General features: G+C 37.4%; 1 pseudogene, besides 3 other annotated features; it reads left to right on the forward strand.

Annotated features, from left to right (window-relative positions):
* Window positions 2215–2384: an enhancer, noted in NCBI's record as "experimental_88597 CRE fragment used in MPRA reporter constructs". NCBI's record gives its function as "activates a minimal promoter by MPRAs in K562 erythroleukemia cells, with activity observed for the non-introgressed 6:121091714 or rs78155048 variant allele {active_cell/tissue: K562}" and the evidence as "EXISTENCE:reporter gene assay evidence [ECO:0000049][PMID:34662402]".
* Window position 2300: a transcriptional cis regulatory region, noted in NCBI's record as "Neanderthal adaptively introgressed variant 6:121091714 (GRCh37/hg19 assembly coordinates) or rs78155048 in the experimental_88597 CRE". NCBI's record gives its function as "modulates activity of the experimental_88597 enhancer by MPRAs in K562 erythroleukemia cells {active_cell/tissue: K562}" and the evidence as "EXISTENCE:reporter gene assay evidence [ECO:0000049][PMID:34662402]".
* Window positions 5433–6632: an enhancer, noted in NCBI's record as "CDK7 strongly-dependent group 2 enhancer chr6:121094847-121096046 (GRCh37/hg19 assembly coordinates)". NCBI's record gives its function as "activates an origin of replication core promoter dependent on BRD2, BRD4, P300/CBP, MED14 and CDK7 cofactors, with strong dependence on CDK7, by STARR-seq in HCT116 cells {active_cell/tissue: HCT116}" and the evidence as "EXISTENCE:reporter gene assay evidence [ECO:0000049][PMID:35650434]".
* Window positions 12920–13368, forward strand: COX6A1P3 (COX6A1 pseudogene 3; annotated as a pseudogene).

Here is a 24376-nt window from a genome sequence, read left to right on the forward strand (position 1 = left end):
CTCACTGCAAGCTCCGCCTCGCGGGCTCACGCCATTCTCCTGCCTCAGCCTCCGGAGTAGCTGGGACTACAGGAGCCCACCACCACACCCGGCTAAAAATTGTTTTTGTGTTTTTAGTAGAGACGGGGTTTCACCATGTTAGCCACGATGGTCGCGATCTCCTGACCTCGTGATCCGCCCGCCTCGGCCTCCCAAAGTGCTGGGATTACAGGCGTGAGCCCCCGCGCCCGGCCTGGCTTCCCCTTATTTTCACTGGTTGGTGCATTTTTCCCATTGCTGCTTTGAAAGGTTTTCTGTAATCGATTTCATTAGTAGTCACCTTCCCTTTATCTTCTCTCAAAATCAGACAAATATTTCTTTACTATAATTAAAAATGAAGTATCCTTTATTCTTCCAAATGACTAATTTAAGGCCTCTGGGATACTTTCATTGACCCTTTTCTTTCCTTCTCTTTTTCTTTTCATCCTCCAATCTATTTAGAAAGCCTGTTATATCTCTGTACCTTCCTTCATCCTCCAGCTCTTAGTTTTGCCTAAAATGGTTCATTATCCAAATGCATCCCTCACCACACCATTTTTGTTTCAAGTCCTATTTAGCACCGATATTACACATTCCTAGAAAGAGTACGCTTAGGTATGTATAGTTAATTGTACTTTTGTAGAATATATATTTTCTTTCTCACAACTGTTTCTGTTCCTTTTCAATTTTTCCTATGTCATTTATTTTCTTAAGTGATTATATACAGAATTCTTGTACATCCTAGTATTTTGTCCTGCAAGTGAATAATACCTTGCAGAATTTGTAGGGATGGTCATTTTCTCTCAGTGGTTAATACATTCTATTTATCTGTGTCTCAGCATCCAGTGATGTAGATCACAAATTTATAACATGCCTGATGTTTATCTTATGTAGCTAATTTGTTAAATTAGCTTATGAATTCATGTTCTATTCACTATGGTGGCATAACAAACCACTCCAAAACAAAACAACAGCATGTCTTCTTGTGCTGTTCTCCATTTTGCACAAGACTCCGCAGGTATAGCCCAATTTGTCTCCATTGGGTGGTGTCTGGGGCTTATGGAAGGCTGGGGGCTGGAATCATCTGAAGGCTTACTCACTGAACTGTTGATGCTGGGAAGTTCATAAGTCAAAAACTCAAACAGGAGTCCAGCAGAGCCCCTCCTCAGGCATCTTTTTCCTCCTTATGGGCATTCTCCATATGGTTACCCTAGCATGGCTCATATGGAGTCAGGATAGCTAGACTTCTTAATTTCAAAAGCACAAGTTCTGAGAGAGAGAGAGGCCAAGCAGGAGTTAGATGGCCTTTTATGATCTAGACTGCAAAACCACACAATGCCACTCTCAATTCACTCTAATAATTAGAAACAAGTTTCTAAGGTCAGCCTGCATTCCTACATTCATGAAGAAGAAAATTAGGCCCCACCTGTTAATGAGAGAAATGCCAAATAATTTCTAGAAATATTTTATATCCTTCACATCCTGCTAAAAGAGGAAGAAGATAATGACAACGATGACGATGGTGATATTTAAGGAATATCACAATCTATGTACAGTTACTTTCAAACTGCAGGCTTAGAACTATATTTGGCTTAGGGAAAATTACCTTCATTGTGTGTTTAATTATTATCTCATTCATGTGTTTTTTATTTTGTTCTTTTGATAACTCTGATGGATCCACTATCTAGATTTCTTATCTTTTGCCTTGTGATTTGTCATCTATGTATATTTTTGTCTCACTATTTCAAGATTATTTTTTTGCACTTCATATGTTAGGCCACTAATTGGGAATCAAAATTAATTGCTTAGTAGGGAATCATGTTTTGGGTTTTGGAAAGTTCTTTAAGTTCTATACGTGGATCTGAATCACTGAAGTGATTTATGTACATATAAAAAAAATTTTAAATATATTAAATATATACATTTATATTTATGTTTAATATATTAAATGTATTTATATACATTTATATGTTTATATATTTAATATATTAAATATAGATTTGTATACATTTATATTTAGTATATAGAGCTAGATAGATAGATATTTTTATTCATGCTTTCATATGCCTCCCATACAATCTTTATTTTCACTGGTTGTATGTAGTCTGTTCTATGTAAATTTCTTTACTCTTAAAAATGGCATTATAATGTGTCACTTTTTTTCTCTACAGGCTTTCAAGCACATCCTAGATGATAACCATTTCCCAGGTTTTGGAAAGCAAAATGTTCTGTATGCCTGGGGCTTGTCAGTGTCAACGCAGCAGACTACCATTTCCCTGCTGAGGGACCTGCAGTAAGTTCCACTGTTCCCTGATGTTCTTTTCTGTCCATATCTAGGCGATGAAAACACCCAGCCACTGGCTCCTTCTTGGTCTCTTGGCAGCCAAAGAGGCAAGACACTTCTTCATGAGGAAAGTAGGGGGAAATGCAAACTTTCCTCATCAGGAGTCCACAAACGTCTATGGGCAAAACTCTTCCTGATATTTAATTTTCCATCTTGTCATCTAGAGCATCTTGAAAGCTGATATTCTAGTATTCATACAGTGCTCAAACCATTCTTTTTCTTTCTTGTTTTTTTTTTTTAGGTTTAACCTTAAAAAATACTAAACAAAAATATTACTTTGGGACATAATCCTATTTTATATCCATAATAAAAAATATTCTCGTCACTACATACCTTCTCATAATCTCCCTTCTCAATCCCAATCTCATGAATCTTAACTCCCAACTGTCGTCAAGTTACGCAGACATTTTAGTTGCCAGCCTAAATGAAGCTGCATATCTGTGATAGGATAGTGTCCTTGAAACTGTCCATACTACTGAGTTCCCTACCTTTCTAAGAAAGAGCTCTATTAGTATTGAATAATTTATTTCTGCTGCTAACCCAGCAATTTTAGCCTTTTTGCAATTTCAGTATTTTCGCTGACACATTGAAATTCACAGGGACCAGCCCTTTTCTTTTGATGATTCAAAAATCATGTCTTGGATACGGCAAAATGCTGCAATTAAAAAAAAAACATACAAAGCAATAATTTTCTTTTAACTGCTTAAAATGGTTTATTTGGGAAAAACACAAACCACTACTGGGATTTTTTTCTTTTAGAATTTCAAATTATGTTAGAAACAAGCTGCAAATAGTCTCTAAAGAAGATTGAAAAATTCGATGCTAACTTCATTTCAGAAAGAACAAGCAAAGAAGTAGACCTGAGATTTAAAAATTTAAGGTAAAATTATAAGAGGTTTTAGCAATCTCCTCCCCAAAAAGTTATGATCATATTTCTTTCAACAACAACAAAACAGTCACGGGGTGGGAGGGTCCAGTTGCTGATACATTACATTTTGTAACCTCCCTCTTTCTCCTATTTAAAAAGTAAACAAGTCCAAAGGTAAATTAAGTTTCAAAGATTTACTTTTCTTAAGAGTCTCTGACAGCTGAAACAAAGAAAGCTGTTGCTGTGTAAGGCCAAATCACAGGGAAGGATTTTAATTCTAAGCGAGCCTGAGGCAGAGTCATTCTTCAATGGGATATACTCCCAGATAAGAATCATAGACACTTAACAATAATCACTTCTTTCATGCCTGGGAATAAATGTGTGGTTACTATAGGTTTTTGGGAAAAGTGTCCATATACTTAATTTGTTTCTTTAAATCTTATTCTGAGATTTTTTAGTAACTTCTAAACATAATGTTCCTTAATACTATTTTGCTAAGTGTCTTTTCCTACAGGCTTATGTGTGTATTTGACAGAATAATTCATAGGAAAGATTGCTCTTTGATCCTAGTAGCTAATTATATCTTTTGAATGAAGCCTGGTGATCCAGATTATGTGGATAAATGACAGGCAAAAAGCCCCACGTGCTGAATTTGCACCTTAAACAGAAACCAAACATGATGCATTTATTCATGTAACAAGTATTTATTTAGCTACTACTCTGAACTAGACACTGCTGAGCATTAGCAATTCAAAACATTGTCCCCTTTCTCAAACATCACCATTGTCTGCCCTGAAGGCTATGTTGCAGGTAGTGTAAAATTCAGGTATCTCTCTGTAGCTTAATAATCTTAAGCATATTTCTATATTTAGGAATGGTAAGTGAGAATATTACCTTTTAATAATAAACCTTTAATTTTGAAATGGCTTTTTTTTATTATTATTATACTTTAAGTTTTAGGGTACATGTGCACAATGTGCAGGTTAGTTACATATGTATATATGTGCCATGCTGCTGCGTTGCACCCACTAACTCGTCATCTAGCATTAGGTATATCTCCCAATGCTATCCCTCCCCCTTCCCCCCACCCCACAACAGTCCCCAGAGTGTGATGTTCCCTAGGAAAAGAGGAAGTCAAATTGTCCCTGTTTGCAGACGACATGATTGTATATCTAGAAAACCCCATTGTCTCAGCCCAAAATCTCCTTAAGCTGATAAGCAACTTCAGCAAAGTCTCAGGATACAAAATCAATGTACAAAAATCACATGCATTCTTATACACCAAAAACAGAGAGCCAAATCCTGAGTGAACTCCCATTCACAATTGCTTCAAAGAGAATAAAATACCTAGGAATCCAACTTACAAGGGATGTGAAGGACCTCTTCAAGGAGAACTACAAACCACTGCTCAAGGAAATAAAAGAGGATACAAACAAATGGAAGAAATGGCTTTTTAATTATAGAAAAGTTGCCAAGATAGTACAGAGAGTTCCCATATCCCCTTCATTCCACTTCCTCTAATGTTAACCTATTACATCACCAACCACAGTTCATTTGTAAAAATTAATATATTAGTATTAGAATAATACTATTAACCCAATTACAGTTTACTCAGATTTTACCAGTTTTCCCACTTGTTCTGTCTCAGGATTGAATCCACAATACCACATTGGCATTTCATCATCTCCTGTGGTCTGTGGCAGTTTCCTAGCCTTTGATTGTTTTTCAAAACCTTCACACTTGGAAGACTCCTGGTCAGATATTTTGTAGAATTTTCATCAACTTGGGTTTTTGTGATGTTTCTCATGATTACATGCCATAGAAATGAGATGTTCCTTTTATCCCATTATATCAGAAGGTAGATAAAATCAACATCATTTATACTGATAATAGTACCCTAGACCACTAGGGTAAGGTGGTGTCTGACAAGTTTTTCATTTCTGTACTCAATTTAGTGGAAGTGTGTCATTAAATCCAGCCCATGCTCAAAAGGAAATGAATTCAGCTCTACATACCAAAGGGGGAATTTTTACAAATTTTTTGATGTTATATTACCATTTGATATGAGAAAGTATACTCAGAACCATTTTAACAATAAATTTATCATCTTAAAAGGCATAGGATTGGCTTGTGTTTTCAACATAGAAGACCACTAACTTATATCCTTTTCCTAAACAAGTATAGTTTTAATATTTATATTCCTAGCAAGGATAGGCTGGCCTTCACTCTCCATAGCATTTGAAGATTCACAATACTCCTCTAATCTAATCAAGTCAGTAGAAAAACAACTAAACATCATACTTACATATTGTCATTGCTGTTGTTGTTCTTTAAGTTATTACATATAGATAACTATATAATTTATCTTCTTGACTCTCGCTTTTGAGAGTGAACGAGAGCACTATTTACAATCATATCGAAACAAGAGGAACACACTTTCTCCCTACAGAAAGAACAACTACATAATTGACTGAATTGTAAACTTTTCAAAAGATTGCCTTGAGTCATACAATCAAGGGTTGTGACCATAAAAAGCAATAAAGGGAGTGGGCCAGAAGCATCTCAGAAAATTTAGGGAAATTCAGAACTCAGGTGATTTTGAGGCATGTGGGTGAAGGACCACGCTTTAAGACACACAGATCAATGTAGAGCCATGGTCTCAAACTGGTATCTCCCAGGCCATACTAAGCCCACAAATGGGCTTGGTTTGGCCACTAGTATTCAAACAGCATTGTTTTGATTCCCATTTTCAACAACTGAAATTTTTCACGTAAAAAATCCAAGTTCCTGACATTTTTTGAAAAATTTTTTGAAAACTGAGTTGACCCTGGGCTGTCAGCCCATGATGTGGCTACTGCCAATGGGAGCTAAGTGGTTAGTGCTTCCCTTTATAGTATCCAGGATGCTCCATTCCCAGTGTTCCTCTCACACTGTGACTCAGACTTAATACCAGTCTACTGACTCAGGCTGCTTGCTTATTGATTTTCCCAAACGACCTCTATAAGCATTTTAGTTTCTGATCTTCATCTTGCATTCATGCATGAAAGTCTTTAAGATAAGGAAGCTGGAGATGAGATTGGGTGTCTCTCTGATTCATTTCCCTTGCAGATTTGATATCAGTGCTCATCCTGAGGAAAGAGGAACTTTGTAGGTATATCAAAGACTTGGGAGCCAACAGTTTGAATTATGTTATATGGCCACCCAGGGAAAGATTTTTTCACATCCTGAATGCATATTTTACCAGATAACTCACTCTCTCCATTTTTATTTTCATCTAGAGCAGTGGATCTCAACCTGAAATCCACATTAAAATCACTTGAAGAGCCTTCTTAAAAATATTTATGCCTATGTTTATTAACAAATTAATTAAATCAAAATATTTGTTAGTAGGTCCTAAGCATCAGAGCATCTTTAAAGCTCCCCAGTTTGATTTAACATCCAGCCAGTATGGATACCCATTGATTTAGATACCCTTTATATCTGAAAAAAAATGAAAACACAATCTTTTAGAAACTTTTCTGTTGCCCAGATCCACCACTGCTCCAAACAAGGCAGTATTCTCATCTGCTGGCGAGGAGAGACCAGGAAGTCATTACAGCTACATCTACACTTTAGCATTTCACATCTTGTCCAGTGTCTTTATTCCTTTCTGCACAATAGTTTCAATATCTGCCCTTTTTTTTTTCTTATTCTTCAGGTCATACAGTCCATCTGCCATTCACACTGCAAACTACCCATGACCCCACTGAATCCTATTTCACTTCTGGATATGATGGACAATCCTAAATAATCCTGCGGTCTATTTAATTTTCCTACCCCAATCCTTAAAGTGACCTTTGATTGTTCTTAGCATAAAAATGAAGTGAGGCACAAACAACTTTTAAGTCCTACAGTAGTTCTCCTAGCACTAACATCTCTTATTAAAAACCTGACTTTCCTATCTACCCAGAAACTCCTATTCACCCTTTTACATTAACGTTTTGTAAAAATGTTTGCCTGTTGGCAAATGCTTGACTATTTTAAATATCTTCACAAATTTAATTATATCAGAACATCTCAGGGAAATACAATCAAATTTTCATAATTTTAAATTTTAATCTATTTTAAAGGCAAGATTTGCTCTTAAATTTAGAAAATGATAGAATAATATACTGTTTAATATCTCATTCAATTGCAAAACAGCTGGATTATGCCCCATGGTCCTTACTCTGGAAAACACGAATAGATCCTCTAAGCCTCTAGATTTCCCAGGATATATGATCTATCTCTGAAAGACATGGAATATCATTTTCCTTTCACTCCAAACAGTTGGAGAATTACAGGGTCTAGCATAGGATTAACACCTCTGGTGGAGGTCATGCATGAAAATTAAAATACCATTTTTCATTGTGCTGTATTATGCATTGCTACTGAAGCTGCAGAGACGTTCTCATTACCTCTCTTCAAAAACACTGTAAATTTTGTTAATGTTAGCACATCCTGCTATGAATGCCAATGCATTACGTGATATTTTTACACTCTTAATTTTTTCCCTTTCCTAGAATAAAGGGCAAATGAATCAAGGCTTGTCCTACATATTATGACCCTGATCTAAATGTCCTTTCTTTAGAAAATGGTCTGCGTATGTATAAGCATTAATCTGGAAAATATTTCTTTCCTCACTACTTTTACAAATGCCACTGATTCAGAAATGAAGCTGAGGACATTTATGTACATTTTAATTAGACTAAATCATGAATTGGTGAGTGGCCATCTGCTTTGTGCCCAAGGACATTGTCTCAGTTGACAGTTTGTGTCCAAGGACATTATCTTAGTTGATTATACTAATCTGAATCCAAAACTTTTACCTGCCAATTCTAAGAATATCAAAGATTCTGGGTTAATACATTTATTTACTTATTTATTATTGAAAGATAGAGTCTATTTGCATTACAAATGGAAGATGTGGTATGGGTCAAGTGTATGAAATCAATATCCAAGGCCACACAAGGATTAATCTTCATTATTCCTGTAAATATACTTAGTCTGCAGCAGTAGCATGGACTATTCAGGTTATTTATCTACTTTTCTAATTTTTATTTTAGATTCAGGGGGTACATGGGCAAGTTTCTTAAAAGGGCATATTCTGTGATGCTGAGGATTGGGATATAATTGAACCCATCACCCAGGTAGTGAGCCTAGTACCCAAAGGTAGATCTTTGACCCTTCACCTCCTCTTTTCCCTCCCTTTCTTGTAGTCCACAGTGTCTATCGTTCCCATCTTTATGTCAATGGGCACCCAATGTTTAGCTACCACTTATAAGTGAGCACATGAAGTATTTGGTTTTTTGGTTCTGTGTTAGTTCACTTAGGATAATGGCCTCTAGCTGCATCCATGCTGCTGCAAAGGACATGATCTTGTTCTTTCTTATGGCTGCACAGTATTCCAAGGTGTATATGTACTACATTTGCTTTAACCAATCCAACTATTTATGAGTACTTGGGTTGATTCTATGTCTTTGTTATCGTGAATAATGCTGAGATGAATATGTAGATCCATGTGCCTTTTTGGTAGAACGATTTATGTTCCCAAAGGGTAAATACTCAATAATGGGATTGCTAGGTCAAAAGGTAGTTTGTTCTATTTTTAGTTCTTGAGAAAACTCCAAACTGCTTTCTATAGTGGCCGAACTACTTTACATTCTGACCAACAATGTATATGCATTCCATTTTCTCCATAGTATTGCCAACATCTGTTTTTTTTAACTTTTTAAAAATAGTTATTATGACTCTTGTTAAAGTCATTTTAAACTTAATATGACTATACAAACTTCTGCATAACAAATGGAATATATGGTATGGGTAAATTGCATGAAATTGATATCCAATGCCACACAACGATGAATCTTCATTATTCCTGTAAATATACTTAGTTTGCAGCAGTAACATGAACTATTCAGGTTTTTTATCTATTTTTCACATTTTTATTTTAGATTCAGGGGATACCTGTGTACCCCCTGAACCTAATATAAAAATAGCAACCCTTTTTTTAAGGCCGGGCTGGTGGTAACAAAGTCCCTTTGTGTTTGCTTGTCTGGAAAATATTTTATTTCTCTTTTGCTTATGAAGCTTAGTCTGGTAGGATATGAAATTCTGAATTGGAATATCTTTCCTTTAAGCGTGCTGAAAATAGGCCCCTAATCTCTTTTGGCTTGTAAGGTTTCTGCTGAGAAGTCCACTATTAGCCTTATGGGGTTCCCTTTGTCAGTTATCTAACCCTTTTCTCAAACTGCCTTTAATGTTTTTTTTCTTTTTCATTGACCTTAAAGTCTGTTGACTATGTGTCTTGAGGGTAGTCATCTTGTATAGTATCTCACAGAGCTTCTCTGAATTTCTTTACTTTCCATGTCAACCTCTCTAGCATGATTGGGGAAATTTTCTTGTATTATATCTTCAAATATGTTTTCCAAGTTGCTTACTGTCTCACACACACTCTGTCCCTCTCTCTCAAGAATGCCAATGAGTCATAGGTTTGCTCTTTTTACATAATTCCATATTTTTGGAAGTTTTGTTCATTTTTTAAAAATTTGTTTCCCTTTATTTTTGTCTAATTTATTTGAAGGATTTGTCTACAAGCTCTGAAATTATTTCCTCCACTTATTCTGCTCTTTTGTTAAGGCTTCCAGCTGTATTTCAGAAATTCCTGTTGTCTATTTTTCAATTCCAGAAATTCAATTTGGTTCTTTCTTAAAATGGTTATGTCATCTTTCAACTCTTAGATCATTTTACTGGCTTCCCTGAATTGTGTTTCAACTTTCATTTGCATCTCACTGAGCTTCCTTGTTATTCAGATTCTGAATTCCATATCTGTCATTTCAACTATTTCAATATGGTTAAGATCCATTGCTAGGGAGCTAGTGCGATTCTTTGGAGGTAAGAAACATTCTGACTTTTTGAGTTGCTGAAGTTCTTGTACTGATTCCTTCTCATCTGAGAGAGCTGGTGTTTCTTTATTTTTTTGAAGTTGCTGTAATTTGGATGGGGAATTTTGTTGTTACATTCCTTTTCCCTTGAGGGTTTGACTGTGTTATATGTTATGTGTAGTTGATTGGCTTTCTTTCTGAATGCTTTCAAAAGTCCAAGGCTCTGTACAAGTTCCTTAGTTGTGGTTAGTTTCCTGTATTGAGTTGCACAGGTAATGCATGTTGAAGGAATTTATTTTTGTTTAGTGGTGTAATTTGGGCTGTGATCCTGTAGATGATGCTTAAGAGTGAGGGCTGGCAGATAGAATCTTAGCCATGCACCTCTTGCATTTCAGTGTATCCACAGCAGGCCTCTGGGGAGGGGGAAGATAGGAGTGAGGCAAGGAATCATTCCCTCACCGAGTCCATTTCCAGGCCTTAGGGGAGTCTCTTTCAATTGCTGGCACCCTGCCTATGTTTCCTTAGCTCCAAGGGGAGCCCTGACAGGCTGCACTCCCTATCCCCCACCCTTAGGGGAAGCTCAATCCAAAGTTTAAGTCACCAGAAGACCTGCCACACCATGGGGACCCACTGGTCCTCTGAGATTGGCAGAGTCAAAGCTGGCTGTGGGACTATATGTCTACAGGTGGTCTGGTGATGCAGTGGGTCAAGGGCAAAGGATCCATGGACAGTGTTGGCAGCACCACAGGTGTGCAGCTGATGTAGTGCTGCACAGCTCATGCTCCCCTGACTGGGTTTCTGTCCATCTAATCTCCCTCAGGATCAGGCCCAATAAGCTAGTTTTGTCCCAAACCTTCTTAGTCCAGATTACTGGGCTGTTCCATGTATTCTGGGCCCTAGAGCCCCAGGCAGAATCTGTGGCTGGTCAACAGGCTGTACGCTCCCTATACCAGTCTTGTAGAGGGAGAGATGCCCATCTCCCATGCCAGCACATAAACCTATGCATAACTTTTCTCAGTGTTTTGAGAGTGGGTGTTCCTTCCCCACTCAAGCTGAGGCCACAGATCCCAGCTTGATAACTCAGGATTCTGTGCTCAAACCCAAGGGATAGGGGGTTGGGGGTAGGACCTGTCAAACAGCGGCTGTGCTGGAGGGCCTTCACTGTTTCCAGGCCACTGGCAAAACACTCAGGCAGAGTGGCTGTGCTGTGTGCCCCCTCCTATGGGAGCAGCCAAGCAGGGTCCTTGTCAGGGCACACACAGATCAGATGCACCCTTGTCCTATAGGAAGGGCAGTCCTGCTTTCTCTCAGCCTGGCAGTCAGCGGGGTCAGAGTTGCTCAGAGCAAGATGATGAGTCTTGGGCGATGGGCGCCTATGGTTGTGTGTTGCTGTAACTGCCCCATGGACAAAACCTTCTGGGTTCCCTGCAGGTTCAAGCTCTGCTTCTGGCTACTCTCTGATCAGTTCCCCCTGCTAATTTATATGTCCATGGGGGTCATGAGATCCTTTGTAGCTAGGACCCCAGATGCCCAAGGTGAGAGTGTGGTGCCCTGGAATTCCTTCACTAACCCCTTCTTTAGCACTTGTTCAGGACTGGGAGCCAGTCCTGGTGCTCTGCAACTCCATGTAAGCTTCCCAGTTGCCTCCCTCTTCAACCTCGGTGTCTGTGTTGCCTCTGTCAATTTCAGTGTTTTCTCTCAAAAGATCTGTCTGAAGTGTGATGGTTTACTTGATATAATTTGGTTTCTCTTGGTGGGAGAGTCATTCTCTGGCTGTGTCTAGTCAGTCATCTTCGTCCCTCCCCCTTAAAGAGTGTGTTTAAATTGAACTATTTTAGTTTTTGGTTTTAGTCTTAATTTCACCCAAAATTTCAAGAAAATAGAAGGCAACTCTCCGTATCCTATGCAGGGTGCTAAATCAAGATTTGAAAAGAATGTTTCTAAAATATTTTTGCAATTATTTTTTCTCATCCACATTAAGGGTCTAAAGATTTGGGATAAAAGGATAAGTACACTTTGAATCTCACCAGGGCAAAAGGCAGGCTGGGGTGTGTTTTCCTCATCTCTAAGGGAAAGGATTCAGTGAAACCACAGGAAGAGCTTGTATTGTGATACCTGGAGCTGTGGCTGACAGTAGGCTGATACTGGCTCATACATGAGAACCTAAAGGAAAATCACTGTAGCTACTCAGAGAGGCATATTAGGATTAGCTTTCACTTCAAACCTTTGTCAGGGATAAGAATATATGTGTTCCCCATGTACAAAATGTGCTTATAGCATGATAAAATTATGCTCATATGCATTGCTCTCCAAAGGGACCACCTAGAATGGTACAAAGAACTCAGCAGAAAATAGCTTGGAGTGGGCCATGGTTTGCCTACTGCTAAAGAGATAGGTACAGAAAACAATTCAACCTGTGGAGTCTCCCATGACTAGGGAAGCTTCAAGTTAGAAACTGATATCAAGAGACGAATTCCCAAAGTGTCTTTTAAGTGCCTTACTGAAACACTCATCAAGGCCAGAAGGTCCCAGGGCAGATCATTATGTCCTGGAAAAACTCATATGTGTTTCATCCTTTACCTCCATTGCCTCTCCACTGCTCCCCTGCCACCATGTTCAAACAAAGAAGCCAGAAGCAGCCTTTTGCATGGGAAGGAGAAGAGGGCAAATGGAGGAGGAGATTTCTGATCGTTTTTTTCTCAGAAAGGTAGTCTTCAAAAGGCCTGCCCTAGAGAGAGAGAGGGGCTGCAAATTAAAAAGCTATAGGCATTTGAGTCCAGGTCAAAAATGGCAGCAGCTGCTGAGTCCCAGGTTTCTTGCTACTGGGTCAGTCCCACCCACAACTGGGACAGCCTATGTCGAGCAACGTCCATGGCCAGGAGGGCTCAGCTCACATGTGGAAGGCCCTCACCTACTTCATTGTGCTCCCCAAGGTGGCAATAAGCTTGCTGAATGTGTTCCTGAAGTCGCACCACCATGGAGAGTACGAGACCCGAGGTCATCACCTACCCCCATCTCCACATCACGTCCAAGCCCTTTCCCTGGGGAGATGGTAACCATTCTCTATTCCATAACCCTGTGTTAATCCACTTCCAACTGGCTACAAAGATAAAAAGAATCTGGACCACTATCCGGGCACTGGGACCTCAGCACCGGTTTGGACCATTACTCGGCTCACAGACCAGAAAAGTATACAGGACCTTAAGCTCGCCTTCTTTACTTGTAACAAATCATGACTAGCGTACTGATCTTCCATCCCTTTGCTTGTGGCAGGATGTGGCTTAAATAAATAACTTAAACTTAGAAAAAGAAATAAAAGCTATAGGCATTTGATTATTATTCTAAAATGGAAACAGTAATTACTATACTGAAACTGCCTCTTAGTAAATAAAGGTTATCCACAGTTTTATGATTACCTAAAAATATTATAGAGATGTCATGGGACTTTTACCCTAGGTTTTACCTAAGTTGTTGAAAAACCAACTGCTTAATGTGGGTTTGAACCACCAGTGGGAAACTGAATTAAGGTGTTTTCTGATTCTTGCCATCACTCCAACATTCCTTCCATAGAACAGTAACAATCTTCATGTGAAACACCCTCCCCTGGGGCAAAGTAATTCATAAATATATGTCATGGTTGAGGTCTGCTGTTCTAAATTTAATTGTTACAATGGCCCGGCAGGTAGGGTTGCCAGATTTAGCAAATAAAATAGAGGACTCTCGATGAATTTGAATTTCAAAAGAGTAAGGAATACTGAATTTTAGTATAAGTATATTTTAACTATTGCATAGGCCATACTGTTACTGAAAAAAAATCATTTGTTTATCTGAGACTCAAATTTATCTACTATCTTGTATTTTTATCTGGCAAACTTAACAGGACTTCTTGCATTGCCTGAAAAAAAGGCAGGGAACAGATTTCTGGAAGCCTATGAAAAGCTGGGAGTGACCAGGGTTATAGAAGGTGTTTAGCAAGGTAGACACAGATATATATGGAAAGGAAAAATATATAAATGCAAGAACCATGATAAATAGTTAAGGCATATAGTACATTCCCAAGACGTAGGAGGTAAATATGGCATTATTTACGACTTAATGTTTCTTTAAAATAAAGAAGTAGAGCAAATGATAGTAAAGGCCTGGAATTATAAAACAGTATTGTCCTACATTTTCTAAAAAATTTTGCTTTTCCTACAGAAATCATGGTAACAAAGATTTTCATAGACCTTTGATCGACGGCACCTGTCAGTTTCTTGTTCTGTCTCTCAATGTCCTGTTTACTCTCGCTTGTTTTTCCAACTGTGAATTTTGTGTGACTAGAGTTCAGTTTGTGATTGACTATAAACTCTGTTTTATGTTTTCCTGTAGGGTCTTATACAGACATTTATTCCCCCAAGATTTTTTTAGCTCAGTTAAATTTTTGTTTCTATATGCATCTCTTTTAACTTGTCTTTATTGAACTCTATAAAATCACAAGCACACTGTCATCTTGTAAATTACATGTTTCTATTAAATAAGTAAAGCTACCAGAAAACAAACTTGCAATCAAAAATGAAATTTAATGCTTAAATCGTGTGTTACTTTGATTTACATTCAGGCACATATTTCTTTATCAGTGCACCTGTAAATCAACATTATGGAGACAGCTATCCAAGTATAAGAACAACTGAATATGTATAAACCAAATTGTGTTCACAAATATGTAGATCGAGGTAGTAAACACCTTTATCACCAGTTAAAAATCTGTCACTGATTATACATAGGGGAAAATGCAAGCATCAACTTTTTAGTAAATAGCTTAAGAACCTTGATAATATCAGTGGTTCAAGTAAAGTGTGCATTGCATACTGATAGTCTAGATAAAGTCTTTGATTACTGATACAGAGACTCACATGCAGAATATAAATTCATATGTGGTCGTATAAACTATATGTTGTAAACTCTGATGAACTATTAATGACATTTAAAAGACTGACAAATCAGTGACACATAATTGAGATTTTAGAATATCATCCAAGAGCATTGTCCTTTTTATTATTTCCTATTGGAAATTAAAAAATAGGGTTATCAGATAAAATATATTTTTAGTATACCTTTCAGAGACAAATACAGTATATTTTTTCTTCTGGGATAGCATTATCGTGGCATAACTGATTCTGGGTTGAAAGATTTTTGACAGACAACAGGCTTAAGTTAAGTCCACATCTACCTCTTCTGCATCATGCTAAGATCTATCTCAAGTACAGCCAGGTTCACCAGGCCACTTCTGCAAACCTGATGGTTCTTTTCACAAAGGACTTGGGCACCTCTGAGACAATGCCATGATTCCTCAACTCACAATGCTTAATCCCTTTATTTTCTCAAGGAAACATTAAGGAAACTTGTGTTTGTTTGTTTTGAGCTATTTTATTAGAAGACAACAGTTATCTATAATAGAGTATCCACATAAACTGAAGAATGTTCTCTTGTCCAAATTATAGAACATGTCATATATTTGAGTAAAGAGAATGGTAGAGAGAGATATACCTCCATTAACCGCGGTTACCTAAGGAAATGTGGAAGCATGAAGAGGGGGTTAGAAAGATTGATTGCTTCTTAATATATCATTTCATTGTTTTGCTTGTTAAAATTAGCATATTTAAAATTTTAATTAAATAATTAAGGAAATTGGATGAAAATAAGCACAGATAAAAATAAAAGAAGCAGGAAATTTTCTCCAGTCTGTGAATCTTCTATTACTAGAAAATTTTAAAAGAGTTGCAGAAACAAAGTGAAAAGTCTTTCACGAACAAAATATAGAAATGACTTCTAAGGGACCTTGCTAAGGTAGCAAGGTTAAGATAACTGGCATCTTTTGCTTATATTGGTTATATTTCTAAATTACAAAAATAATATATAAAATTCAAAATCACCCCTGCTAAAATAATAATTTTATGAAAGAAGACTAAAACCACACTCTACTTATCAATGTCAACTTGTCAATACCTCCTTGTTCTATTTTTCATTTGGAGATCTCAATCTATTCTAAAGAAAATCTCTCTTACTAATTAATATGACTGCCTGTCTCCAATAACATCCATACATATTATTATCTAAAGGTACAAAAGTGTTTTGTGTATTATTTCATAAATATGCTTTGAATATTATTATAAGTATAATATCAGAATTTTATATCTATGTATTTATATCTTTGGGGCCTGGTGCAATTGATAATGAGATTATTCTTTTCTCTTTTTTTGACCTTACCATCTTCAAACCAAAATGTTTCTGTATTAATTAAGAATGAGGGTAGGAAGAAATTATTTTTATTTCATGTGTTGTACTCTTGTCTTGCCTTGGATCACATATAATATTTATTTATCTAATCATTCCTTCTCTTTTCTGTGCTTTGGCACAAACAAAAAATTCCACAACAATTTTCTAAAAACACAATATAGCTTTCCTTTTATCCTGATGCACAACTTCCTAGATTATCAAGTATCACATATTGTAGTCGTTCTGTCCACCTAATCTGAGCCTGAGTCAACATAAGCCAGTTAGTGCTTGCCTTGTAGAAAATAAGCTTCAATATATAAAATACCCAATGGTAAGGAGGGAAGTTTCAATGTTAGTTTTTGATGGAAACCTTAAAGTTCAACTTCAATCAGCATCATGAAGTTGATTGACTTTTTGGTCAATCAACCCAATTTACAAGGTAAAGGGCTAAGATGGAAATATAAGAATAAAACTAAATAATCTAGAATCTAGAGCACATAAGATGTCAGAAGCATCTTTTCAGAAGTTTTGGAAGCAACTGAAGACATGATCGCCTGTCCAGGCATCACTGTACTTTGCACAGGCACAGAGACATAGATAATATCCTGAGGAAGCAGCCCCAAGATATATCAATCTTATCTTTCTAAAGTAAACAGGCATCCTTGTGTGTGCAATGTGGTCTGAAAGAGTGCAGAAGTATTCTATTCCTAAAACCTCACTTCCAACGTATATCCACCTGGCAATTTAACTATTGGTTCATTTCTTTTAATTAATCTTATTTGTTTTCAAATTATTTTGAAGAATTCTCTAAGAAACAATCGTAGACTGAGAAAATAACTACATGGTGAAATGGAAGGTACCTGGGACTAGTAGCCAAATTGATGGTGGTGACAGCCTGTCTGGAGTGGCTGCTGTGAGGATGCCAGCTACAGTGGAGGAGGCACAGTCAAGGTTGTGCCCTCTGTGGAGCAGGCGGGACCTGGGAACAGGTGAGAGCCCCACCCTCTAGCAGGAGTCCACACTCCCACACACAGCCACAGCTGCCTAGCCACAGCTCCAGACCCTGGCATCCCTGCACTTTCAGGGGCCCAGGAAGCCCCCTGCCCCACAGGCTTAAAAGTGCCTACTCCTGCTCCCTGGCTTCTCCCTGCTCCCGGTGCCCACTCTGGGGCAGAGCAAAGTTGTGGCCAAGCCTGGGCGCTGTTGCAACCCAATTGGGTGTGCACACACTCAAGGCAGTGCTGACACACCAGCCCCCTGCCAACTTGGCCCCATCTGGACTTTGGGCACTGACAAGCATGAGAGGAGGCTGGGGGTACTGAGGGTGGCTCAGCGAGGGCCTGTCGGCATCTCATGCCACAGACAGCCTGGGCGTCATGGATGACATGCTAATGGCAGACAGGTTCCTGGGTGGGAAGGGGCAGGACCCCAGTGAAACCTCTCTTTCAAGCCAGGAACAGCCTGAAGCCTGGGGACTTGACGGCCAATTCCCATTGATGTCTGCAGCCCAGAGTGAGAACTTCAATGATGACTGTTCAGCCAATCTAATGGTGTTTTTTCCAGGCCTGCCCATGGCTACCTACAGACCATTCAGCAGGCACCTTCTCCCTTCTGAGCCCATAAACACCCCAACCTCACGCACTTCTCTGGACGACCTTCCTGGGGATAGGAGGTACCCAGTCCAAGTCGCCTCTCTATTAAAGGGCTGCACTCATCAGGACTCCCTGCCTGCAGATAGGAGCTACGTACTCCAGGTCTCCTCTTCACAACATCTGGACACTCATCCGGATGGCATGCCTGTGATAAGGAACTACCCACTTCAGGTCTCCTGAGAGCTGTTATGTTGCTCAATAAAGCTCCTGTCTGCCTTGCTGTCCCTCCAGTTGTCCACATACCTCATTATTCCAGGACGTGGGACAAGATCTCGGAACCCACCGAATGGCAGGACTGAAACAGCTGTAACACAAACAAGCTAAAACATGTCCCCTCTGCTCACCACATTGCAAGTGATGAGGAGAGAAGAGCTGCAGCCCTTCGGGGAGCCCAGACCTAGGGATTCCCCAAGCCAGGGCTGTGAAACCTCTTTGGGGCTCTGAGGTTCCTAGCGTCTCCAACCCTCCAGGAACTGCTGCCTTCCCTTCGTCCAGATGCGGTTGCCCGCAGCAGAAGCCACTTATGGTACATCTAATCCAGCCACAGCCTTACATGGAGCTGGCAGTTGTCAGTGCCTGGAGCTGCCCACCCCACTGCAGTAGCTGGCACGCCTAGCTGTGCACAGTGACCAGACCCCATGCTCACTTGCTCACACATTCCTCGCTTCTCCGCACCTGGCTTTCCCTTGGCAGGCATGGGATCCGGCCAGTAGTGTGGCCTAGTGAAGCCTGCCAGGCTGAGTGGGTGGAATGAGAGCCCCGTGGGCTCAAGGAAAACTCAGGTAAAGGTGCCACTGGCCACAGAGGTTTTGGCTGGAAAAGCAACATCCTAAGGATACTGTGACATAATGACCTAAGTTCTTCAGAAAAAAGTTATATTTGATTATTTTGATAAAATGTAAAAATTCCTAGAAATATAAACCTATCAAAATATACTCAAGTTGAAAGAAAAATGATAATATCCCTAATCATTTAAAAATACATTTAAGAAGTTAAAAAATTACCTAACTGAAATTTATCAACCTCAGATCTTTTTATGAATGAGTTCAAGATATATTTAAGACTGAGAATTTTCCTCTCATATATAAATTCTTATATAGAATTTATAGAATATAGAAAGAACTCTTCTTTATGATAAAATGGGTCTATGATAACCTTGATAATTATGAACATTGATGCAAAAAATTCTTACGCAAAATATTATCAAAACAAATTGTTTAAAATACAATAAATAGTGGTGAAGTTAGATGTATCTCAGCTTTGTAAGTATCAAATTTAGTAAGGATGTGCCACAGTAATAAATTAAAAAGGAAATATCTCATCTTAAATATATGCATAGAAATATGACATACATCATTATAGCACTGATAGCCAATAAACATAAAAGAAATTCCTTCAACTGACAGAGGATACTCTACAAAAAAAAAACCACAGAAACAAAACACTGTAGCAAACATGTTTATAAATGATAAAATATTGGTGGCATGTTACAGTTCTTTCCTGTAAAATCAGAGACAGATAAACATATATGCTACAATGTTTCCTTGAATACATGTTTAGGAATCCTATTTAGCAAACAAAAAAAAAAGAAGGAAAAATAAAAGATAAAAATTAGAAAAAAGAAACTTATTTATAAATATTGGCTTTATCTTATTCTGTTTTCTTCCAAAATTCAGTGTTCATTTCATAACATATAATAAGTAACTCCTAAAAATTAATAATGAAAAGTCAAACAATCTGATTTTAAAAAGTGAGCAGAAGACATCGATAGGTCTTTAACAAAAATGAATTCCCCCAGAATGAGCAACAGCCCTAATAATCAGATCAATGCAAGTTAAATTCATTTTATACACACCAAAATGACTAAAAATAAATTTTATCAAAACTGTAAATACAAACATCGACAAAAAACATTTTTCAAAAAGAATGTGCTTATGTTTCTGGTTGGGGTATGAATTAGTACAACTGCTTAGAAAGTAATTTGGCATGATCAAGAAGACCTGATAGAATGGACTGTATGTGCACTATATCTAAAAATCTCCTTGCTGTCATTTCCATAGCTCCCTTTCTCTTTCTTTGACCACATCTCATAGCGTCTTGTTCTTACACTGGCCTTCATTTGGTTCCTTTGAAATTCTGTATTTATCACCGCAGATTATTTGTAGTTTCAGTTCCTTGCACCTTTGATTCCATTCCTTCAATCTGATTAAGGTTTATTTTAAAGAAATCAAGAGTCACTTCTTAGAGAAGTCTTCTCTAATATCCAAAATCGGAATAAAAGTCCAATAATCCACTATCCTTTTATCCTGTTTATTTTATCTTCTCTGAGTTTATACATTTTAGGTACTTATTATATACTCCCCTCTCCTGCCCACACACACACCCCTGCTGGAATTTCAGCTCCAAAGGTTTGTGAACATTTTCATTCACTGCTGCATCTCCAGGTTCCAGAATATCATACGGCATAGAGCAGACACTCAAAATATTTTTTTTTAATATTAAGTGAATTCACTCAGGTTGGAAATGAGGAATCTCTATTTTTTAAATGTCTCCACGACATTCTGGCAATGAGAATATTTAGAAACTAGTGACCAAAACAAAGTAATCTAATATCATCTGTCTCTTTGACTTTTAGAAAAGGTTCCCTATTGGAATAGACAGTGGCTGGGGAGGCCAATGAAACCTCCCTAAGCTGTCAATACCTCCTTGCGTCTTCCCCAGTGTAGTAGGTGAAAGAATCTTAGTCTAGTTATAGGGAGGCAAGTCTCAAGACCAAGAATCATTTCTATGCTTGCGTGTAAAATAAATACTTATTGGGGATGGGCAAATGAATAATCTAATGAACAAAAGCAGAAATCAGTTAGCTCAAGAGATTAATTTCCTTCTTCCACTTTAACAAAATTCTGACTTGTAATTGGCTCCTAAAAATAAAGTCATTTCCACTTGTTGTATACTACCAAGTTCATTTTAATTACCTATACTCGTTGGATGTGCTCTTCCTATTCTGTTTTATATGCTTGAAAAAATGAAGATATAACTGTAGGTAACTCAATTAAAAATATACTACTGTATTATACTTTGTAATATAATTTTCAACGTGTTTATCAAGTTTGAAGCAAAAGCTTTCTCTCTGAAGAAATACCCCATCCCCAGTCCACATATATCATTTATCATCACATTTCAGTCTGGTTTGTCAAAGGATTTGTATGGTTTACCAAACTTCAATTTAAATACTTCTTGTCTTAGCAAAATATTCTATATATTGCATATTTAATAAAGAAAACAGCAAAATTAGAAAACTGTCATTCTGTATGATACTGAAATCAATAAGAAGGTTAAAAGATTAGGATGTTTAGTTTTTCTTGGTGATTATCAGGTAATTAATAATTATAATGGCAATATAAATATTAATAATACATAAAATTTGTATAGTAACTGATATGGGACAAGTACTAAGGTTTACATGTTGAATTAACCTAAGCTTAACAACTACTGTATAGATAGGTATTATTATTTTCCCCATTTTACAAATGAGAATACTGCAGTACAGATTGGTTGAGCAATTTGCTTCAGGTCATGAAGCTAGAAAGAGATAAAGTCAGAATTCAAACCCAATGTTATACATCCAGGGCCTATGCTCATACCACTAGTTTATTTGTAGCAGATTATTATTTTTCACAAATATTCTCCTTTTAAATTGTAGAAATCAAAACACAATATCGGGTTTAAAAGTTGACATAAACTTTAAAAACAATACCTCTATACACACAGACAAACAAACATCATTTCCTAATTGTTTCAATAAAAAACTAACACTTTTTAAGTGGAGTCTATGTTTATCAGAGCTTGTATTAGATAAACATAATCACTCCACAGCAGAGCTTAATATTCAAACAAGGTTACATCCTGTGAGGTGCAGTGGAGGGAGAAGAAGTTTAAGAATATTTAAGACACTTTGGTTTCTGCTTCTGAGATTACAGAAATTACCATCAGCTATGAAGTGTGACTCATATCTGAGCAGTCAGTCCACACAGTATTTTTTATCTTTCAAACAAAATTCATTTATCAACACTAAATCAAAGTATATAACTATTTAAAACATTGTATTTTTTTCATTTCTATTTATTTGCTCTCCAACCTTAGACTTGAGAATGATGGTTATTGTTAAATAGAAGGTAAAATTATAAAGTCATAGCAAAAACAAGTGTTCTATAAGGAAACAGACTGCATTTCTAGTGGTAAGCAAATTAAAAAGAGTAGCCTGGCGCTGGACCACCATTCCTATGGGTGGGAAATAGGCTAACAAATGTTAGTTTTCTTTATATTCACTATACTTTATCATTTAGTTTCATTTGGTTCCCACAGGGAGAACTGACTGGTCAATGTCTTTCCTCACAATAATCATAGCACTGTTCTCTTCTGTCCTTAGCAATGCTATATTCAGTCATAGTATTGATGAATGAAGAAAAATTTTTTATTCTGTCCTTTTTTATGAAAAAATATGTTTCCCATATATAAATTATCAAAATATAAAGCAAGGGGGGGCCTAAATTTAATTATATTTAATGTGTTGTATAACTTTTTTCCTAATTTCTGTTAATACTTTCTATATGTATATTTATTAATATGTCTATTCACCTTATTCCCTCCCTTGCACACTGTCTGTAGAGGCAAGTGGAAATATTTTATCCCTGAAAACTACTTAGTCAATCCTCATTTTATTGAGGATCAACATACATGTCAATATATGTTAATATATGTTACATATACATACATATAACATACTTATAACAATATAACATATGTTCTGATATATAACATATACCAGAAGCTCATACATATAAATAAATGTATGAGCTTATAATTCTTATGATGAGCCAACCCTTCTACTTCTATCTATCTATCTATCTATCTATCTATCTATATATATATATATATATACACATAATATTTGAATACCCTATATTTCTTTCTTTTGCCTGATTGCCCTGGCCACTCCTACTGATCTTATAGTTGTCTAGGAGAATTAATTTCATTATGATTATATATATATACTTAAGTTCTGGGATACATGTGCAGAATGTGCAGGTTTGTTACATAGGTATGCATGTGCCATGGTGGTTTGCTGCACCTATCCACCTGTCATCTACATTAGGTATTTCTCTTAATGCTATCCCTCCCCTTGACCCCCACCTCTCGACAAGCCCCAGTGTGCGATGTTCCCCTCCCTGTGCCCATAAGTTCTCATTGTTCATCTCCCTTTTATGAGTGAGAACATGTAGTGCTTGGTTTTCTGTTCCCATGTTAGTTTGCTGAGAATGATGGTTTCCAGCTTCATCCACGTCCCTGCAAAGGACATGAACTCATTCTTTTTTATGGCTTCATAGTATTCTGTGATGTATATGTGCCACATTTTCTTTATCCAGTCTAACATTGATGGGCATTTACTCTGGTTCCAAACATCTGCTACTGTGAATAGTGCTGCAACAAACATATGTGTGCATGTATCTTTATAGCAGAATGATTTATAATCCCTTGGGTATGTACCTGGTAATGAGATTGCTGGGTCAAATGATATTTTTAGTTCTAGGACCTTGAGGAATTGCCACACTGTCTTCCACAATGGTTGAACTAATTTACACTCCCATCAACAGTGTAAAAGTGTTCCTATTTCTCCACATCCTCTCCAGCATTGGTTGTTTCCTGACTTTTTAATGACCGTCATACTTATTGTTGTGAGATGGTATCTCATTGTGGTTTTGACTTGCATTTCTCAAATGACCAGTGATGATGAGCTTTTTTAAATGTTTGTTGGCCACATAAATGTCTTTTGAAAAGTGTCTGTTCATTTCCTTTGCCAACTTTTTGATGGGGTTGTTTGCTTTTTTCTTGTAAATTTGTTTAAGTTCCTTGTAGATTCTGGATATTAGCCCTTTGTCAGATGGATAGATTGCAAAACTTTTCTCCCATTCTGTGGGTTGCCTGTTCACTCTGATGGTAGTTTCTTTTGCAGTGCAGAAGCTCTTTAGTTTAATTGGATCCCATTTGTCAATTTTGGCTTTTGTTGCAATTGCTTTTGGTGTTTTGGTTGTGAAGTCTTTGCCCATGCCTGTGTCCTGAATGGTATTGCCTAGGTTTTCTTCTAGGATTTTTATGGTTTTAGATCTTACATTTAAATCTTTAATCCATCTGGAGTTAATTTTTGTAAAAGGTGTAAGGAAGGGGTCCAGTTTCAGTTTTCTGCATATGGCTAGCCAGTTTTCCACGTATGGCTAGACAGTTTTCCCAGCATCATTTATTAAATAAGGAATCCTTACCCCATTGCTTGTTTTTGTCA

This window comes from Homo sapiens, chromosome 6, assembly GCF_000001405.40.
Source record: "Homo sapiens chromosome 6, GRCh38.p14 Primary Assembly".
Classification (NCBI taxonomy): domain Eukaryota; kingdom Metazoa; phylum Chordata; class Mammalia; order Primates; family Hominidae; genus Homo; species Homo sapiens.